The sequence below is a fragment of the Homo sapiens genome, chromosome 5 (genome assembly GCF_000001405.40).
Source record: "Homo sapiens chromosome 5, GRCh38.p14 Primary Assembly".
In the NCBI taxonomy this organism is placed as follows: Eukaryota; Metazoa; Chordata; class Mammalia; order Primates; family Hominidae; genus Homo; species Homo sapiens.
Window position 1 is genome coordinate 86908893 of NC_000005.10, and position 20831 is coordinate 86929723.

General features: G+C 30.7%; 1 annotated feature.

Annotated features, from left to right (window-relative positions):
• Nucleotides 20040-20789: an enhancer, noted in NCBI's record as "OCT4-NANOG hESC enhancer chr5:86224749-86225498 (GRCh37/hg19 assembly coordinates)". NCBI's record gives its function as "activates a minimal SCP1, AML or CMV promoter by ChIP-STARR-seq in naive H9 embryonic stem cells {active_cell/tissue: H9 hESC(naive)}" and the evidence as "EXISTENCE:reporter gene assay evidence [ECO:0000049][PMID:30033119]".

The window sequence follows — 20831 nt, forward strand, 5'->3', positions numbered from 1 at the left end:
TAAAACAAGTAAATAAATAAAAAACATGATTAAGAGGTAAAGAGAGATGGTGACATAACTTGAGATTTTTAAACCATCCATCCTGCAAATGAATGACACTGCTGAATTTTTCAGTCTTGGGAGCCAATCACCATATTTAAGTTGTGTTTCTTTCATTTGTAACTGAAAATGTTCTAACTGAATCAAGGCTGCCCCACTTGAAATGTACAGGATTTTAGTCCATCCAACAGGATTTCTATAGAAAGTTTTGCCTCAGTAAATACAAGGTTGGACTACATGATATCTAAAGTCTCTTCCAATCCCAAGTGTCTATGGCAGATTGAATTTTTAAAAGAACAAGCAGGAGAGTTGGAATCTATTGGCATTAATACTATATCTATGAAACATAGCTTTGGAAGCATCTTTGCATTTTCCATACTACATTTAAATACAGCAAAACCTATTCCATAGAATGTGTATAGATGACTCTCTGTACTCTTTAATTATATAACAGAATGTAAGAAGAATGTTGAGAAAAAAATCAACAATATGATGAAACATCATCAGCATAGTGCAATGAGGAACGTAGTCAGTCCCCTCTATATACACATCAATCATGGCAGAACCAGAAATGGATATGTAGCCTTGTTGGGAAGTACCTCACAGAATTGCTTTAGAACACTGAGTCATAAAGCTCTTAGCTTAATGAGTTGGTAACATTTTGCAAATTTGCTTAAAACACGTTGCTTTCCAGACTATGTTAACAGATTCCAACAGTTCTTGCCAACACACTCATCCTAAACAATTACATTAAGATCCATAAGGCCGTGTTTACAGTTCTGAGGAGCAAATGTATTGTTAATGGGCCATAAACTATCCTCTGACTCAATAGTTTGGCTCTTTGAAATTTGTGTAATAGTCAACGGAAAAATTCCAACATCTACTTGGCATGGAAGTGGAATTAGCTTCAGGGATATAAAACTAAATGCTGAGAAGCATCTCTTCCCCACATTTCTGATCTGATGTGCTTTTCATATAAAATAAAACAATTTACACAAAAACTTGAAAGAACATCATCGCCACAGTTTAGAATCGTTTTATATGTTATAGCAAAAAGTAAATAATCATGATGAGCCATCAAAACTCCCATGTGTACAATATTCTCAGTATTCTCTCAGACTGTTTTTCAAATCTCTTGTGAAATGGCTGCATCAGTGAGTCACAAATAGTCTGTGAGCAGACATTAATTGCAGCTTCATGCTTGTCATGCCTGTTGTTATCTGAGACTGTTTTCAGGCTGCCAAAAATCCAGTTGTGCCAAACTACTGTTTTTATCTTCCTATAAAATTCTGTGACTGCCTCTCATACCTGTTTTCCATCTTCTTATCTTCCTCTTATTTTGCCTCTTTCTCTTCTGTTATCTCTCTATAGTTCTGCTACATTCCCTCCTCACTCCAGGCATTCTTCTTGTTTTAAGCTAACATCTCTCAGTTCCTTCTTTCCAGATGGATCCACTTTCTCTTGCTGATAATTTCCATTCATCTTAATACACTTTTAAAATTAACCCAAATCATGCTTTGCCTGCCTTTTTCCTTGTTTAGTTTTATTTTTTTTCAATCTCAGGTTTCTTTCCATTTTTCCCTTCTTTGTAACCTTTCAATGATTAAATCATTTGACATTTATATATAATAATATGCAACTTTGCACAAGAAATTATTTGGGTTACTATATAGATGTGAAGATGTCTAGATTCAGATATCAAGGACATTTTTATGTCTAAGAGTAGCTATGTCACAAGAATATCCTTGGCATAAATAAACACTCTTTTTTTCTGGGTCTGTGAGCTGATGTGTGACAAATACAGAGAATAATATTTTTCTCTCACTTTAGCAACTTCTCAGAAGTTTAGAAGAAGTGGAAAATAGCCTTTGACCTTATGCATGCCTTGTGTTCCTACAGTAGAAATAGTGATGGACATCATGTTGTATTTTAGGCTGTTAAACTGAGAAAGCAGCCGAAATGCCAGCTTTCATAGTCCTGGTCCCTGGCATACAGCTTGTCTGAGACTGATCGTAAAGACAATAATAATAATATCTAATGTCTATTCTATACTTTGTACATATTAAGCACAATTCCAAGCATGCTTTAAAGCATTATCTCATTTATACAACTTTTAAAGATAAGACCAATTATTATTACCACTTCATAGGTGAGGACAACAAAGCACAAAGCTTAAGTAACTTTCAAAAATATGCAGTCAATAAGCAGTGGATTCAGATTTCAAATCCAGGCAGTCTGATTCTAGGACCCATACTCTTAACCACAAAATGAAATGATAGGACTCAAGGAATTTCCTGAATCCTCCATTCTCTCCCTTATCTTGCATCCTCTATCCAGTCCTACCACAATGTGCCCTTCTCAAGAGGCCTACGCCAATTAACACACTTAAAATTGCAGCATACCTGTCCATCAAAATTTTTTATTCCTTACTCTGACTTTTAGGGCCCAGAATAAATCACTCACACTCTGGGCACCTCATGCCTTAGCCTTCTGATTGGAGGCTTCCTTAGGCTGATCCTGAGTGAGCTATAGTCAGTGTGTTTTGAAGAGTTCCAGGTCTTCATAGCACCTAGCTTGTATGTTTTTGTAATACTTTGAGTACATAATATCATAAATATATATTATCTGTCTCTGCAGGAACCAGATGAATCTGCCACTTACACTTATTAGATTGTGCTGTTGAACTAGTGGTTAATCTTCATGTGCAAGCAATACAATATAAGCTTAATGAAAGAATGGATAGTTTATTATAAAAATCCAGGTGTCCTCTTTTCATGCTCAGATATGCAATCAAACTTGTTCTGATCGATTTTTTAACTTGTTGAGGAAAACCTTATACCTAATCTCTGATGTGGAAATACCATTTATCTAAAGGCAAGAAATTCTGACTTTGGCTAGAAAGATACTAGTATTTTTGTAGTATTTGTACTACTTTTAGAATTCTTATAATAGAAGTAATTCTGGGCTGAAATTCCATTACCTGGGTTCTATAAATAATTCTAGTGCCAAGGAATTGTGTGACAATAAACATGTCATTTTTCTTATGCTAGCCTCAGATTTTTCTTCTATAAATGTAGCTAATTCAACTTGGATGATATCTAAGTTTCTCACCAATTCTCAAATTCAGATATTGATTATCTGAAATACTCATATAAACTAGAATTTAGTGGTCCTAATAATTGCATAGGGTAATTGCATATTTATGTGACTTTACATGAATTATAAGTAGGATGACTCTTTTTATTTGCATGGAACAGTCCCAATTTGCAACATCTCCTTATAATTATTAGCAGCACCTCCTTTTACTCTCAAAATTGTCCTAGTTTTTATAATAAATTATAAATCACCCTAGGTTTAGCTTTGTCTTTGGAATATGTAGCATGTTATTCCACATGTATAAAAAACATAAGTCTACACAAAAATGTGCACGTGGATGTTTATAGAAGCTTTATTCATAATTGCCACACTTAGAGGCTACCAAGATGTTAGCCAGTAGGTTAATGAATAAGTAAATAATGATACATTCAGATAATGGAATATTATTCAGTGCTAAAAAAGAAACAAGTTATCAAGTCATGAAAAGACATGGAGGAATCTTAAGTGCATATTACTAGGTGAAAGAAGTGAATCTGAAAGTGCTACATGCTGCAAAATTTCAACTAAATGACATTTTAGAAAAGATAAAACTGTGGAAACAGTAAAGGATCCATGGCTGCCTGCCAAGAGTTAGTAGGGAGAGAGGATGAAGAGGCACACAGGTACTTTAGGGAAGTGATATTATAATATTCTTTATGATACTATAATTGTGGATACATGTTATAGACTTGCAAAAACCCATAGAATGCACAACAGGAAGAATGAACCCTAATGTAAACAATGGACTTTGGGTGACAATTATGTGTCACTGCAAGTTCATCAATTTTAACAAAAGTACCACCCTGGCCTATCTGAATCTAAGGATGTCTCCTGCTGCTTTTGAAACTGTTAATGTCAGGTACTCATTACTATAGTTAGTAAAGAAAGACAGTTTCAAAATGCAGTGTAGCTCTCATATGATGCTTATGAGAATATGAGGTTTTATGGCTTTTGAGGAAACTAAATGGTACCATATACATTTAAGATCCACATACAATTCAACCCAGTGATTCCATGTTACAGATCAATTCTAGAAAAAAAAGTCACATTATATAAGAATATAAACACATACACAAGTACATCTGAACTATGTTTATTGATTTGATAGGATATTCATTATGTGAAGAAAATTAATAGGCATATGTATGATCCCATTTTTATAAAAATAAACAGGATAAGGAAGAAGATGATTAAAAAATAAAACCCATATGAAAATATCAAACTATCAGTAGTGGAATATTAAAAGAAAATGTAGAAAATAAAATACAATCAATAATATTACAAGATAAGCATCCCTAATTCAAAAACCCAAAGTCCAAATTGCTCCAAACCCAAAACATCCTCAGTGTCGACATGCCGCTGCAAGTAGAAAATTCTACCCCTGACCTGATGGGAAGGGTTGAAGTCAAATTGCAGTCAAAGCTTTGAAAATGGCAAACAGGAGGGCCAGGCATGGTGGCTCATGCCTGTAATTCCAGCATTTTGGGAGGCCGAGGCGGGCAGATCATGAGTTCAAGAGATTGAGACCATCCTGGCCAACACGGTGAAACCCCATCTCTACTAAAAATAGAAAAATTAGCTGGGCATGGTGGTGCGTGCCTGTAGTCACAGCTACTCGGGAGGCTGAGGCAGGAGAATCGCTTGAACCCAGGAGGTTCAAGTTGCAGTGAGCCAAGATCGTGCCACTGCACTCCAGCCTGGCGACAGAGCAAGACTCTGTCTCAAAAGAAAAAAAAAAAAAAAGAAAATGGCAAACAGTAAACGAAAAGGTGCTCAACATCACTGATGAGAGAAATGCAAATTAAGACTACAATGAGATATCACCTTCCTACAGTTAAAGAAGTGGCTTTTATCCAAAATACAGGCAATAAAAAATGCTGGCAAGGATATGGAGAAAAGGGAACCTTCATACACTGTTAGTGGGAATGTAAATTAGCACAGTCACTATGGAGAAGAGTATGAAGGTTTCTCAAAAAACTAAAAATAGAACTACTGTATGATCCAGCAATCCCACTCCTAGGTAAACACCCAAAGGAAAGGAAATCAGTGTATCAAAGAGGTAGTTGTATCCCATGTTTGTTGCAGCATTATTCACAATAGCCAAGATTTGGAAGCAACCTAAGTGTCCATCAACAGATGAATGGATAAAGAAAGGGTGGTACATAATACACAATGGAGTACTATTCAGCCATAAGAAAAAGAATGAGATCCTATCATTTACAACAACATGGGCAGAACTTGAGGACAATATGTTAGGTGAAATAAGCCAGGCACTGAAAGACACACTTTCCATATTCTTGCTCATTTATGGGAGCTAAAAATTAAAACATTTGAACTCTTGGAGATAGAGAGTAGAGTGACGGTTACCAGAGGCTGGGAAGGGTAGTTGGGAGAGGGGTGAGAAGTGGGGAAAGTTAATGGGTCCAAAAATGTAGTTAGATAGAATGAATAAGATGTAGTATCTGATAGCGCAACAGGATAACTACAGTCAACAATAATTTATCTTTGTACATTTTTAAATAACTCCAACAGTATAATTGGGATGTTTGCAACATAAAGAAATGATAAATGTTTGAGGTGATGGATACCCCATTTACCTTGATATGATTATTTCACATTGCATGTCTAAATCAAAAAATCTCATGTACCCCATAAATACATTTATTATGTACCCATAAAAATAAAACATATGTTTAATTTTATATATATATAATATATAATTCAAAAGAAAAAATAAGAATTATAATTATTAATCACTAGTATAGTATTAGGTTTTTATTCATTTTCCCCAAGTAAATAAAATCAGTGTTTTGAGTTTCTTGTAGATATGTTATTTAACATGATATCTGACAAAGTAAGAAGTTGATAAATATGAGTGATAAGCATTATGATACCGTATAATAAGAGAAAAATGTAAGAAAACTTTGGATCACCAGCAACCTTGCAAATATTACCACTGTTATATGAAGCCAAAATAAGAATTTTCTGATGCAGCATACATAAGTATCTGTTGAATGTGGTATGAAACTACAGTAAGAAGATAATGGTTAGCAAGATTGTATCAAGAACAAAATGAGAAAAGGGCAGTAGGAACAAATGAATGACAATAGAGAACAGACAAGTAATACAAAGTAATTTACTGTTTGCACCGACCGTCCAAAGAAACAAATGCAGGAATTGAGTCTTCCTGCTTTCCAGTGGCAACTTGAAAGAAAAGCAATCTTGGGAAACATTATAAACAAAATGTTACATATCCTGAAAATGAATTCTTTATAGGTTGTTACTTTGATCATTAATAAATACAGTCACAGATGAATTTAGGTGGATGATTTAATTTGCCAATTTTGCTTAGCCACTGTCCAACCACCCCATTTGTGGAACAGAATAGGGAAGGAGTACTCTTAGGGGGAGAGGACGGAAGTATCACTATTTATAAGCTGTGCATTCTGAAAGAGTTATATAATAAGTTTGGAAGAAGCTAGGTTTTCATACCTATTTTGGGCAAGTACAATGTCAATTCTCAGGCTCAAGGTTTACAAGTTTTTATGAACAGAGGACCAGCAGTATTTACCCTTTAAAAAATCATATAATTTAAGAGATGGAAAGAATAAAACAAAGATATAAGTTCTTCATTTGTATAAAAATGGTAATATTACCTACATATAGGGTTCATATTAAGATCAATTACTACAATCCACATAAAAACCATTAATAAATGTCATTTATTAATATTATTATGAAATAATTATTACTCCTTAGTTTCCACCTCAGGATATTTCCTAAGACCTACAATGTAGTGTAAATTTGATTCTGTTTCTGTTTTGTATTTCCTTCTGTTATTGGCCCTTCTGTTTTTTGATATGATTTTCATGAACTTCCTATAAATGGGCTAATTGACCTTTCTCACCAGCTTCAAGGTAGAAGCATGACCTAGGCCTAACACTATCAATAAATTCCATGCCTCTGGCTACTGTGATTGTTTCAAGATAGGCAATATGACTAAAAGCAAAGCTAATCAGAACAGTGAGAATTTTTGCTAGAGTCATGGGGAAAGGGATTCATTAAATTTGAATTTGAATTTGAATTTGGGAGGATGTAGTGTTGAAACTTCTGCATTCACATTGCTACCATCCAGAGATCATATATTTGAGATTGAAGTTAACACAAATGCGCCAAAATAAAGCCAAAAATAAAGCGAGAAGCTGGATGCTAATGGGTGTTTGAGATCCATGAATCAAGCTACACCATTAGACTGTTGGGATATATGGGCCCATAACTTCCTTTTCTTTAAGCCAATTTTTAAATTCATTTCTCTCCTTGGGACAATTATATCAGACCCTACCCTTGACCTATCCTCTGTAACCTGAGTCCTTTAGTGAGATTTTCAGGAATATGACTAAAAAATAAAATCTTCTCTGACATTTTATCAACTGCAAAACTCTAGATATTCTGATATTTCCACACGAATCTTCAGTGTATTGAGTGGTTCGAATATCAAAACTGAGAAAATAGAACTGACCATATTGGCTTTTTGAGGTTATTCGTTGTCATGCTCAGCAATACAAAAAAATTGAGAGCTTGACTTCAAAATAAATATGCAAACAACTATTATTTACATGAATAAATAAGTCATTTCATTATGCTGGGAAGTTTATTCTTTATTGTAGGAAGGAAAGCAAAAATCAGCAATAGTAAATTCCATAATACTCTGATAATTAACTCCTGATACACCTTTAAACTGCCAGATATGTAGATTTTACTCTGATGAAACAGAACTGTATTTGATATGTTATTGGAATATTTGTGCATAGCTATGTAAGCTGAGACCATTATCAGGAACCAGTCAAATTCAAGTGATGCTACTGTATTTTTAAATTATTTCTCTTAGTATCCTAGCATCAAATGGTGGGGATAGGTCACAGTTGGAGTTGGTAGAGAAAGCAGGCATAATAGACTTGTATTGAGGCAGAAAGGAGGAAGAGGTGAGTTAAGGACAGGGAAAAAAGAGGCTGAGGGGTGATCACTGACTTTAGTAGTGTTAAAAATGCCAAGGGCAAGATTCAAGGCAGGAGAGACATAAAATCAGGAGACTGAGATTTCTCGTCCTCTGGAACAGACTGTTTCCTGTGGTGGCTCTTCAGCACTCTGGATAGCTCCCAAGATACATAAGCACTGGAACTAAATCCAAAGCTTTTTCCTTTAAGGCGTTTTATCCTATAACTCAACCATCCAACTGGCCCTTTCCCATCAAGCACAATATTCTGATCATCCAAGTGATGTTACTAGTTTTGCTAAACTCAGTTTCTGTGGTCTAGAGATAAACCACAAAAACTTTTTATCTTCACATCAGTTGTGAATTTGTGTCTTAGTCCTCTTTCTGTGTAGCATCTACAAGAATTGTCTTTTTTTTTTTTTTTTTTTTTTTGAGACAGGCCTTCACTCTGTAACTCAGGCTGGAGTGTAGTTGCTCAGTCACAGCTCACCACAGCCTCAACCTCTTAGACTCAAGTGATCCTCCCACCTCAGCCTCCCATTAGCTCCAACTACAGGCATGAACCACAATGCCCACCTAAGACATTATCTTATAGCTATTATGTTAGGATGAATAGGCAAGGATGAGAAGATAAGGATGTACAAAGATATTTGTTAGAAGATTGTTTAAAATATAAATATTCCAAAAAACTTGAATCTTCATCTATGGGAAAATAAATATATAAATTGTAGTATATCTATATAAAGAAATAGTATGTCATAATGAAATATAACAACATACACACAATGATATAGAATAATTTCCAAAATATGCTATTAAGATAATTTTTAAAGATGGAAAACAAAAGAGAAGTGCTGCAGAGTAGTGTGAACAGTGTATTTCTACCAATGGAAAAAGATTAATATGCTTTTATGTGAAAATAATATTACTGGAAGGTTAAATAAGAAACTGGTAATAGCCTCTAGGAAGAAGATCTATTGAACTGTTTGAGTTTTTACCATGTACACGTATTATTCTTTCCAATAAAAATGCTGTTTATACGTGCATTTTAAAGGTAAAATTTAGAGGAATAAAGAATTGTAACCGTAACCATTGTGCTCCTTTGCAACCTCCATTAATAGATGCAGTAAGCTCTCATAAACCTGAGCCATTTGGCAAAGATTCCTGTGGTTCATTACTATTTTTTAGTCCTTTTCTCTAAAACTTGAAAAAACAAGTTGACTCCCAGAAACAATTTTCAGTTATTGGCAAGTCTAATTCTGTATATTCAAAATCCTGTTTATGACTCTTCAAAGTGATTAAAAGAACACTCTTAAGCAGTTCTCATGAACTTTCAGAGAAGCAATAATATGGGAAACAAAAGTCACAGACATTTCTTCCAGAACACATCGTTCTGTGGTTAACTTGGTTAAGATCTTCCGCCCATAGAAATCAGATGCCAGCAATTTCTGAGAATTTCATCCCACTCAATAGTGCATAATGACTGCGGGATAAATCAATGTCTTAGAAATCTGAAAAACTCTGAAAAAGAACATCTAATGTGACCTGCGGGGTCATAAGAGGAAAGATATATAGTAATATTCTGGTAGTGTTTATCTCTGGTGAGATCATATCTTAACCTATATTTGTGTGTATTTTATATATATATAATATATATATATACTATAGAGCATGTATAATATATATACTATATTTACTTTATGTTATATATACTATATTTACTTATATATTTAGTATATATGGTACATATAATATACATATGAATTATATGTACTATATATACTATATATACTTATATATGTAGCATATATAGCATATATAGTATATATACTATATATACTAAATATATAAATATATAAGTATATATAAAAGTATATATAAGTATATATAGTATATATATTATATAGGATTTATACTATATATACTAATATAAATATATAAATATTATATATATTATATATAAATTAATATATATAAATATATTATATTAATTTATATATTTATGTATATTTAGTACATATAATATATATACTATGTATAGTATATATAATTATATATTTAGTATATATAGTATATATACTTATATATTTAGTATATGTAGTATATATAGTATATATACATAAATATTTAGTATATGTAGTATATATAGTATATATACATATATTTAGTATATATAGTATACTATATATACTATACTAAATATGTAGTATATATAAACTATATATACATACTATATATAAACTATATAGTATATATACATATTTTATATATATAGTTTATATATACTATATTTTATATATATATAGTTTATATATACTATATTTTGTATATATATAAAATATAGTATATATAAACTATATATATACTAAATATATATACTAAACACATACTATTATATAGTATATATAGTATATATACTATATATACTAAATATAGTAAATATACTATACATTACATATTACTATAATACTATATATTATAAATATAGTAATATTAATTAAGTATATAGTATCATATTATATATAATACTACATATTTATATATAATTATATATAAAATATATATAATAATATATAATATATAATACTATATATTTAACATAATATATTAAATATATAGTAATTATATGAATTAAATATATAGTAAATATAAATTACTATATATTATAAATATAGTAATATACTATATATACTATATTTAGCATATATAGTATATATACTTATATATTTACTTTATATACTATACATACTATCTATACTTATATATTTAGTACATACTATATATAGTATATATATACTAAATATATAAGTATAGATAGTATATATAGTATATATACTAAATATAGTATATATCAGTATACATATACTAAATATAGTATATATCAGTATATATACTAATATGTATATATTAGTATATATATACTATAGTGTATATATAATATAGTATACATATATTAGTATTTTATATATATACTATATATATTTTATAATATATAGTATACATAATATATATTTTTTCTGGAAAATACAGAAAAGGATATATATATAAAAGGATATATATAAAAGGATATATATATCCTTTTTGCATTTTCCAGAAAATATATATAGTATATACTATATATTATATAATATATAGTATATACTATACTACTATATATACTATATATTATGTATACTATATATACTATCTATACTATATTAATATATACTATATATATTATATACTATAGATAGTATATACCATACTAATATATATACCATATATTATATAATATATAGTATATACTATACTATATAGTATATACTCCATAGTATATTATATATAGTATATACTCTATAGTATATATAGTATATACTCTATAGTATATATAGTATATACTATAGAGTATATGCTATATAGTATAGTATATACTATATAGAATATAATATATGGTATATATATTAGTATGGTATATACTATATATAGTATATAATATATAGTATATATTAATATAGTATACATAGTGTATATAGTATACATAATATATAGTATATATACATATTAATACAGTATACATAATATATAGTATACATCATAGATAGTGTATATATAATATATATAGTATATATACTATCTATAATATGTATATTATAGATAGTATATATACAATATTATATATTCTATATATACAATATATATACAATATTGTATATATAATATAGTATACATAATATATAGTATATGTGGTATATATAGTATATATATAGTATATATAGTATATATAGTATATACTCTATAGTATATATAGTTTATATAGTATATACTCTATAGTATATATAGTATATAGTATATAGTATATAGAGTATATACAGTATATAGAGTATATACTATATACTATATATTATGTGCTATATTATATACTATACCAATATATACCATATATTATATACTATGTATAGTTTATACTGTATAGTATATACTATGTATAGTATATACTACACTTATATATGCTATATGTTATATACTGTATATAGTATATACTATTGTATATATACTATATATTATGTGCTATAGTATATACTATACTTATATATACTAGCAATTATATACTATAGTATATACCATACTAATATATATACTATATATAATATACTATATATAGTATATGCTATATAGTATACTATATAGCATATACTATATATAATATATTATATAGCATATACCATATATAATATACTATATATAGTATATACTATATATAATATACTATATATAGTGTATACTATAGTTATATATACTATATATTATATACTATATATAGTATATAGTTTATATTACATACTCTTTGTAGTATATACTATACTAATATATACTATATATTATATACTGTATATAGTGTATACTATACTATATGTACTATATATTATGTGCTATAGTATATACTATACTAATATATAAGCTAAATATTATATACTATAGTATATGCTACACTTATATATACTATATATTATATGCTATATATAGTATATACTATGTTATATGCTATATGTATTATATACTACATATAGCATATGCTATATGTAGTATATACTATGTATAGCATATGCTATGTGTAGTATATACTATATATTATATGCTATATGTAGTATATACTATATATTATATGCTATATATAGTATATACTATATATTATATGCTATATATTGTATATACTATATATTATATGCTATATATTGTATATACTATATATTATATGCTATATGTAGTATATGCTATACTTATATATGCTATATATTATGTACTATATATAGTATATACTATACTTATACATACTATATATTATATACTATCTATAGTATATACTATACTTATACGTACTATATATTATATACTATATATAGTATATACCATACTTATAGATAGTATATATTATATAGTTTATACTATATAATATATACTATATATTATGTGCTATAGTATATATCATACTTACTATATACTATAGTACTACATATACTATATATTATATACTATAGTATATAATATAGTAATATATATACCATATATTATACAATATAGTATATACTATAGTAATATATATGCTATATATTGTATACTATAGTATATACTCTACTAATATATATACCATATATTATACATAATGTAATATGTATATTATATATTATAGTATATTATATACAATATAGTGTGTATGTTATATATTATAGTATATTCTATATATATAAAATTCACGCTAGTATAGGTGAAGATATGATCTCACCAGAGGTAAATACTACTAGAATATTACCATATATCTTTCCTCTTATGAGTCTTTGGCAGGTTTGAGTATTTTAATTTAACCTTTATCTGAGTCTATCTTGTACCTCTTGACTAGCTTCTTTCATTGGAAGATCCACTGTCCGAGTTCAGTACCTGCAAATTCATCTTTGTACCTCCGTATTGAGCAAATCACAGTTTTCCCCACAAGTATGACAAGAAATAGAAATGACTGTCGGCTTTCATAGTGAATCAGTAAATGTTTCTCTTCTAAAATTTAAGTTTTTCTGTAAATAAGTGGGCATTTATGCCACTCAGAACTTATTTTCAAACTTAAATCTGAGGAGCACTTCATACATTTCCCTTATTAGAGTTAAAAGGCCTCTTAGATATGAATTCCCTCTCTTTGTTATAAGTGATGCTCAAAGATGAATTGATTTTTCTTGGTTATAAACACATGGTCAAACCCTCCCTCTGCACCCCCGCAGGTCACATTAGATGTTCTTTTTCAGAGTTTTTCAGGTTTCTAAGACACTGATTTATCTTGCAATCATTATGTACTCTTGAGTGCGATGAAATTCTCAGAAATTGCTGGCATCTGATTTCTATGGGTGGAAGATCTTAACCAAGTTAACCACAGAACAATGTGGAGATATATATATATATCTCCATATATATACATATATGAACGAATTCTGGAAAATACAAAAAAGGATACCTATATTGTATTTTCCAGAATTCCTACCATAACTTTGCATACTTTTAGAAAAAATAAGTATTTTTAAAGCATATAGCAATCCAAAAGATAATGTAATTATGAATAAAACAGAACTTATAATATGCACTACAAATTATATTAAATATACTAAGGATTATTTGGCTCCTTTATTCTGAAACTAGAGTAGACCTTTAAATTAAACTCGTTAATAGGTATCACTACCCGCCTTTCAGGGTACAGGACAGCCACATTTTTCTACAAAGTCTTGTTTTGCATTGATCACTTACTTTCTCCTCTGAGTTCCCATAATTCTTGTTAGCTTTTGCAACAGTGGTATTTTATGCTGGCTTTTCATTGTATCTATTTTTGTTTGCCTGTGTTGTGTGTGCACGTGTATGTTGTCTTTCCAACTGTATAGTGTGCTCTTTGAGGATAATGAACAAACCTTCTAAGTCTATGTAGCCTCTAAATTCCAGCATCATATTTTCATTATGTTAATTAGATATTTATTGATTTATAATATAGCCTTAATTAATTTATGAAATGTAAGTTGTATAATTAAATATGTCATAGAGTTAACGGACCTAAAATCACAAGATTACTATAAAATCAACAAGTTGCTTGAGTACTTTATTGAGTAAAATGGATGACTCACCTCTCTTCTTCCTCTGGAGATTTCATTAAAGAGCTGTATTTGCTAGAGACTGCACTGGCCTTTTTTTATTCACCCTAAAATACAAGATATTTAAATTCACCCTTTTAACTTGCACAACAACTTAGCCCCAAGATTATATGAAAATCATTTTCTCAATCTTCCCAGGTGGAAGAACAGCAGCAGTTGGTGAGTTGAAGTTGCCTGACTTTTCTATAATGGATTCCATAGGTTTGCTAGACACCCCTGTCTGTCTGTAGTGGTTCTCTGGGGAAATAATAATGGAATGATCTATGTCCATCTTTGCTTCCTTCCTTCAAAGAAAAAAGTACCCAAATGTTATCAAAGACCAGATCCTCTGTCTGGGCTTTCTATCACAACCTCTTTAGAAACCAGTTCTTTCAAGTACATCTTTTTAATCATTCTACCATTGCCTTCTTCTCTTTGAACTTCAAACATGCATAGATCTTCCTTTTTATGAAAAATAATTTGACCTCCCTAATCAGGGCACTAACTTGCTGCACTAATTCAAACCTTTTCTTGCATAACTTTCTTCACTCTCTGTCCTTCATTTTGCTACCATTTACTTTATCTCTCTTTTATCTGCAAAGTCACTATACACAGACGTGCAGATTATAGTTTATATAATGATACCCCAGAAACGTTCAGTGCACAACCTGTACAAATGCATAAAGTAGTCTTGTTTACTTTATGCCACTTACTTATGTTCCCCTTTTTCCTTTCCCCCATCCTTGCCACATTTCAAATTATACTATACATAGTTTCCAAATAAATTTTCCTAAAATATTTGCAAATATTTCTTGGATTAGATAAAGTCTAAATGCCCAACTCTGGTTTCCAGTGCTCACCATCTTTTCTACTTCATTTCTACTCTTTGAAAGAGAGCTTCCAATACAGTCATATTCATTTTCCAAACAAACTTAACATTGTCATCACTTTATCATTTAGTATGTGCTGTCTCCCTACTTGGAACGTTTTACCCACATCTTCACTCATATAATTTCTACAAATCTTCAAAGTCCAGCTTAAACTCTATGTTTCTGTAAAGCTTTACTGACCACCAGAGCCCACAAGAACTTCTCAATCTGCTCTCTGATTTCTGTACTATTTGACACTTATGTACTGACTTTTTAATATTTTTTTGTAAATGTATATATGTTCTGTTCTTTTTTTCACTTGATTTAAATTTCTAATAAAGAACAGATATTATAACTCTTTGTGTTCTTCAAATTATACAATATCATATTTTACATATAGTGATATACTTAGTAAAAGTTGATAATAACCTGATTTTCAGTAACTGACAGGTTTCTGTTAGCATATCTATCAGAATTAAAATTTTATCTTGACTTTTTTCTTAAAAATAGGTCAGTTTATTTCACAAGGAGTATGTTTGTTTCTTGGTGGTGGTGGTGGTGGTGTGTGTGTGTGCACGCACGTGTGTGTTGTATGCACATGCTCACACTTCAAGTTACATAGTTATGCCAGCATTCCTAAAGCTGGTATTGAGGATATGAAGGTGTGTTACTACTACTGTTACAACTAATAGTAATAAAAATAATTTGGACATACACTCCATCTAAATCTTCCTCCTACAGAGTCACACTACACATTAAATTTCTGAAAAGTCCCTCATAAAGGAGTCCTTTGAGTTTTAAGCTAAACTCAAAGGACTTGGCAATGCTTCACATCAGGGATTTAAAAGTTGTATTAATGAAAATAGCCATATTTGGGAAAATTATTTTCAGAAGTTATTTCCTCAAATGTTAGTATTTTCCAAAGAAATCTCTTCAAATATTTATGAGGGAGTTGGAGTTGAGGGGAAAAAGAAAATATGTCACTTTTCTAAAAGAAAAACAGTAATATTTATAATTATTTAATATAAAAAAGGAAATTTATGAATTCTTATCTGTTAGCCTTTAAGTTTTTCTTTCAAATGAACTGATTTAAAGAATACTATTCTAATTCTGTTTAAAAAATTATATAAACAGAATATTCTGTAGACTCCTTATACAATTGCCCAAGAAATATATTACTGTAAATCCCATACTGAGTTCATAAATCCAGGGCTAAAAAAAAAATCTAGTGCCTGAAATTATTGCTTTAATTTTATATCTAAATTTTAGCTTGCTTTTTTTAACAAACAAAAAAGGCAATAGAAAGCCAGAGAGCAAAATCCTTTAAGTTAGATAAAGGCTTTTAAAGGTTAATAAGCTCCAGAATAAAGAAGTGCTCTGCCCATCACAGGGCAGAGTGAAAAGATCACAAGATTTTTGAGTTAGACTTACTTGGGAAGCTCTGCTACTGATCAGATACATGGAATTGAATATCAATATCAATATCAAGAGGCTGCAAAACTGTACTACTTTTGGATTTTTGAAGGAGGGAAATAATAGAATTATGATGTATAATGCCAATGAAACATTATTAAGTTCACCCTCACAGAATGAATGTTTGCCTCATCTCAACTTCATGCACAAAGTTCAGCCAAATATGTAGAGTTACAGAATATTCAACAACTGTTGTATTCTTTAGGAATGCAGCCTTGGTGAAGGTATGATGACTAGGATGAATAAGTCATCTAGAGATCCCCCTTAGCCAGAAGAATAATTTAAAATACATATGGTTTCAGATGTTTTGAATTGAGTATAATTCTTGACCTGCCTGTTGTGAGCTTTTTCTTAATACAGAATTCCTGTTATTCTTCTTTAACCAACAACCGTGTATGAACATTGGCCATTCAAGTATAGCAATATCCCAATTGACTCTCACAAGCATTCTCTTTAAAGTAAAAATTCAATGTTCTTGCAAACTGGAGATACTTTTTCCCACCTCAAAATACTGTTTGGTGAAACAATAAATTTGAAGCCTAAGACACTATAGTTTTTCTGATACTTAATAGAGCTACTTCATTCCCTATGGATTTTTTTTCTATTTTATAAATATAATTTCCATTCTTTCCATTCTCCTTCTATTTGAATTATTCTTAAAATAAATCACACAGAAGTAAAATAAGAATGTGATATGTTTATGACATTTCTTACACTGGGATATTCTGACATCCCTATGTTTGAAATAGAATTTTTGTTTTCTTTTCAAATGTAAGCTGTGATTATTAAGGTTAAATTCATGAGCCAGAAAAAATTTTAAAACAAAATTTACAAATATTTGGGCGGTGGCTCTTACTTTTTGAACTTGCTCTCACATAGATAATGTATTCCCTCCTTTGTGTCATAATTTGTAGCTATTAGTCAAGGTCAGAATGAATAGGTAAATACAGGAATATTTGCTTTTCTTACACTTCTTTTGAACTACAAAGTTCTTATCTGGTCAATTTACAGATTCAGAGACCCATATGAATATCATATTGAGATATGCAATTGCAAAGATTCCTGTTACCAACTGGAATTATCAAATGAATCCTCTTTTCTTCTGTCATTGATGTTCTCTCTTTTTATGTAATAAAAGTTATTTAATAGTTTATAACACTGTTATGACTTTATTCCTATTCAGAGGAAAAATTTATCCTCATAAATACATGCCCTTATTTTATCAAATATTTTACACCCTAAGAACATAATATTTCTTATACCTATATACCATGAACATTTACAACTAAAGACAATATTGTCATGGATAACACAATCATTACCATAAACAGGATATATACATAAAATTATATATATATGTATCTATATATTTCTCATATATATATATGTATATATATCTCAGATAATGCCAACTCAGAAGAGAGATGATACACAGATTTCTGACGACACTTAACCTAAGTGTCTCTTCACAAAGTCAGCTTTGGAAATGGTTGTCATCAATGTCTGTGTCCTTGGCCTGCCTCGGGGAACCTGCACGTGAAAGTGTTGACGGGACAGGCATGCTGTCCACATCCCTGGCCCTTTGACACTGTCTCTTTTATACTCCTTGGGACTGTAGGTGCTGGCTGCAGTAGCAATGCCTCTTCTACATGTCAAATAGGAATCAGCATTATTAATGGATGAGTTCTCAAATTCTCCCCTCTTCCTTCTTCTAGCTTCTTGAAATCAAAACTTTTTGCTTGCCAAGCTATCTCTAGAGGTCTATTAAAGAAAAAAGGAAAATTCAGAGATAATGTAAGAAACCAAGAAATCAGACAGGCTAAGTGGAAGTGGGAAATAAGTGAATGAGCCAGAGGTGGGGAGGGAAGAGAGAGACAAAAGCACTGTGGCTTTCAGAGATTTCGTGAGGGATTTTTGTAGAAATTAGTGACGGGGGGAGGGATTTTAAAGATTATGCATTAAGAATGTTCTTTCTAGAGTATCCTCTGGAATAATATTTATCCCAAAGAGTGCTGTTGGTATTAGGAAAACTGTTCTTCAACATGTAGGACTGTCCCACACATTGCAGGATGTTTAGTATCTCTGGTGCCAGCCACTTACTAAATGCTGGAAATGCTCTTCATCATGAAAAGTGAAACCATTTATATGTATTTGTAAATATCTCCAAAGAGGTACTTCTGCCACTGGTTGAGAAACACGGCCCTGGAAGTGGAGTAGTCAAAATCAAGCTCTGGATATGGGGAATATATATTTATGAACTGTGATTCTTTAAATGTGATGAAAATTGAGCCACAATGAACTCAAAATATATTACATTTGTGTAATGTATCTCTCACATGTATTGTATTTTGGGCACCTGGATAGCAGCTATGCTGTTTTATATGCATGAGAAAATGGGATTTGAAATATAAAGAAAGAAGTGTACTTCTATGGCAAATAAGTGAGGTTAGAGGCAAGATAGGAAAAATTTTTAAAGGAAGTCAGCATTTCCTAACTGCCTGCTACATAATGTAATTTATCTAAAATCACAAGATGGTTAAGTGACAGGATCTAAACCCAGGTTAGTATAATTGCAAAGCCCATGATTTGTTGCGTTTTGACAGGAGTTCAGTGAAGTGGTAAGAAAATCAAATTTAAAGACTACTTTAGAAAATATAAGTATAAACAAAAAATATTTTTTTTCTCCAGGTTTGAACAGCATCCAAACCTCATATTATCCTCCTACGCCTAATCTAGTAATGTTAGGTATCATGCCCTCTATCAATAGATTTGAGAAGATGTTAAAGAGGAAAACCTAAGAAATTAAACATGAATGTTCTCAAAAAGGCTTACCATAAACTAATCTTATTATCAGCAAATGAGATAATTTACAGAAAACCAAAGAGGAAAAAAAATTGTCTGTGTCCTAAGGAAAATGCTTGATTTCTTGATTTTCCTGGGCTAAGGGCCAGAAGCATTAATAGCAATGCATTATTATTCTAAATTCAATGAATTATTGTTCATATCAGTATTAATTTTGAAAGAGATGCTCTTACTGATATTAATTTCAGAGTATTAACTGGAAACCATCACCTTGCTTAGAACAATTTTCAGATGAAAGAGTTCTGAGCGTGACTTGATTCTTTTCTTTAACTTTCCCATCCAAAAGCTCTGGCAAGAACACCCTGGGTGTGACTCCTGCTGAGCTGCCAGCATGGCACACTTATGCCTCTCAGTTTGCTGGCCTAGAAGTGGTCAAAATGACAAAGGCAATAGGCCCTGTGAGCTCTTTAACATTACAAAGAAGATTTAAGTGAATTTTCAAAGCCTTAGGATAATGATCACGAAAAGACTTTATTCTACAGGCTGACACAGATTCCTCGGCTAGTGGAGGCCATCACCAGTGCGTCATTCTGTCTTGTGCCATCTCCCTACAGCTTAAGGATAGACTTGACTGGAAATATTTGCACATGCAGGTGTTTTTTTAGGGCAAGAAGCAGTTCTCTGACTTCTCATTGCTGCCGAAGGGCTAGCCTGGCTTTCCTTGGCTCGGCAATCTGGTACAAGTCTGCTGAGTCAGATAAAATGCAGAGGATTCTATCCTTGCCATCACATGCATCACAAATTCAATGGACCACAAAAGATTGAATCTTTCGTTTAAGCATTATCGTGAAAATTTGTTTCAATTACTGTGGCTGAAGAAACACT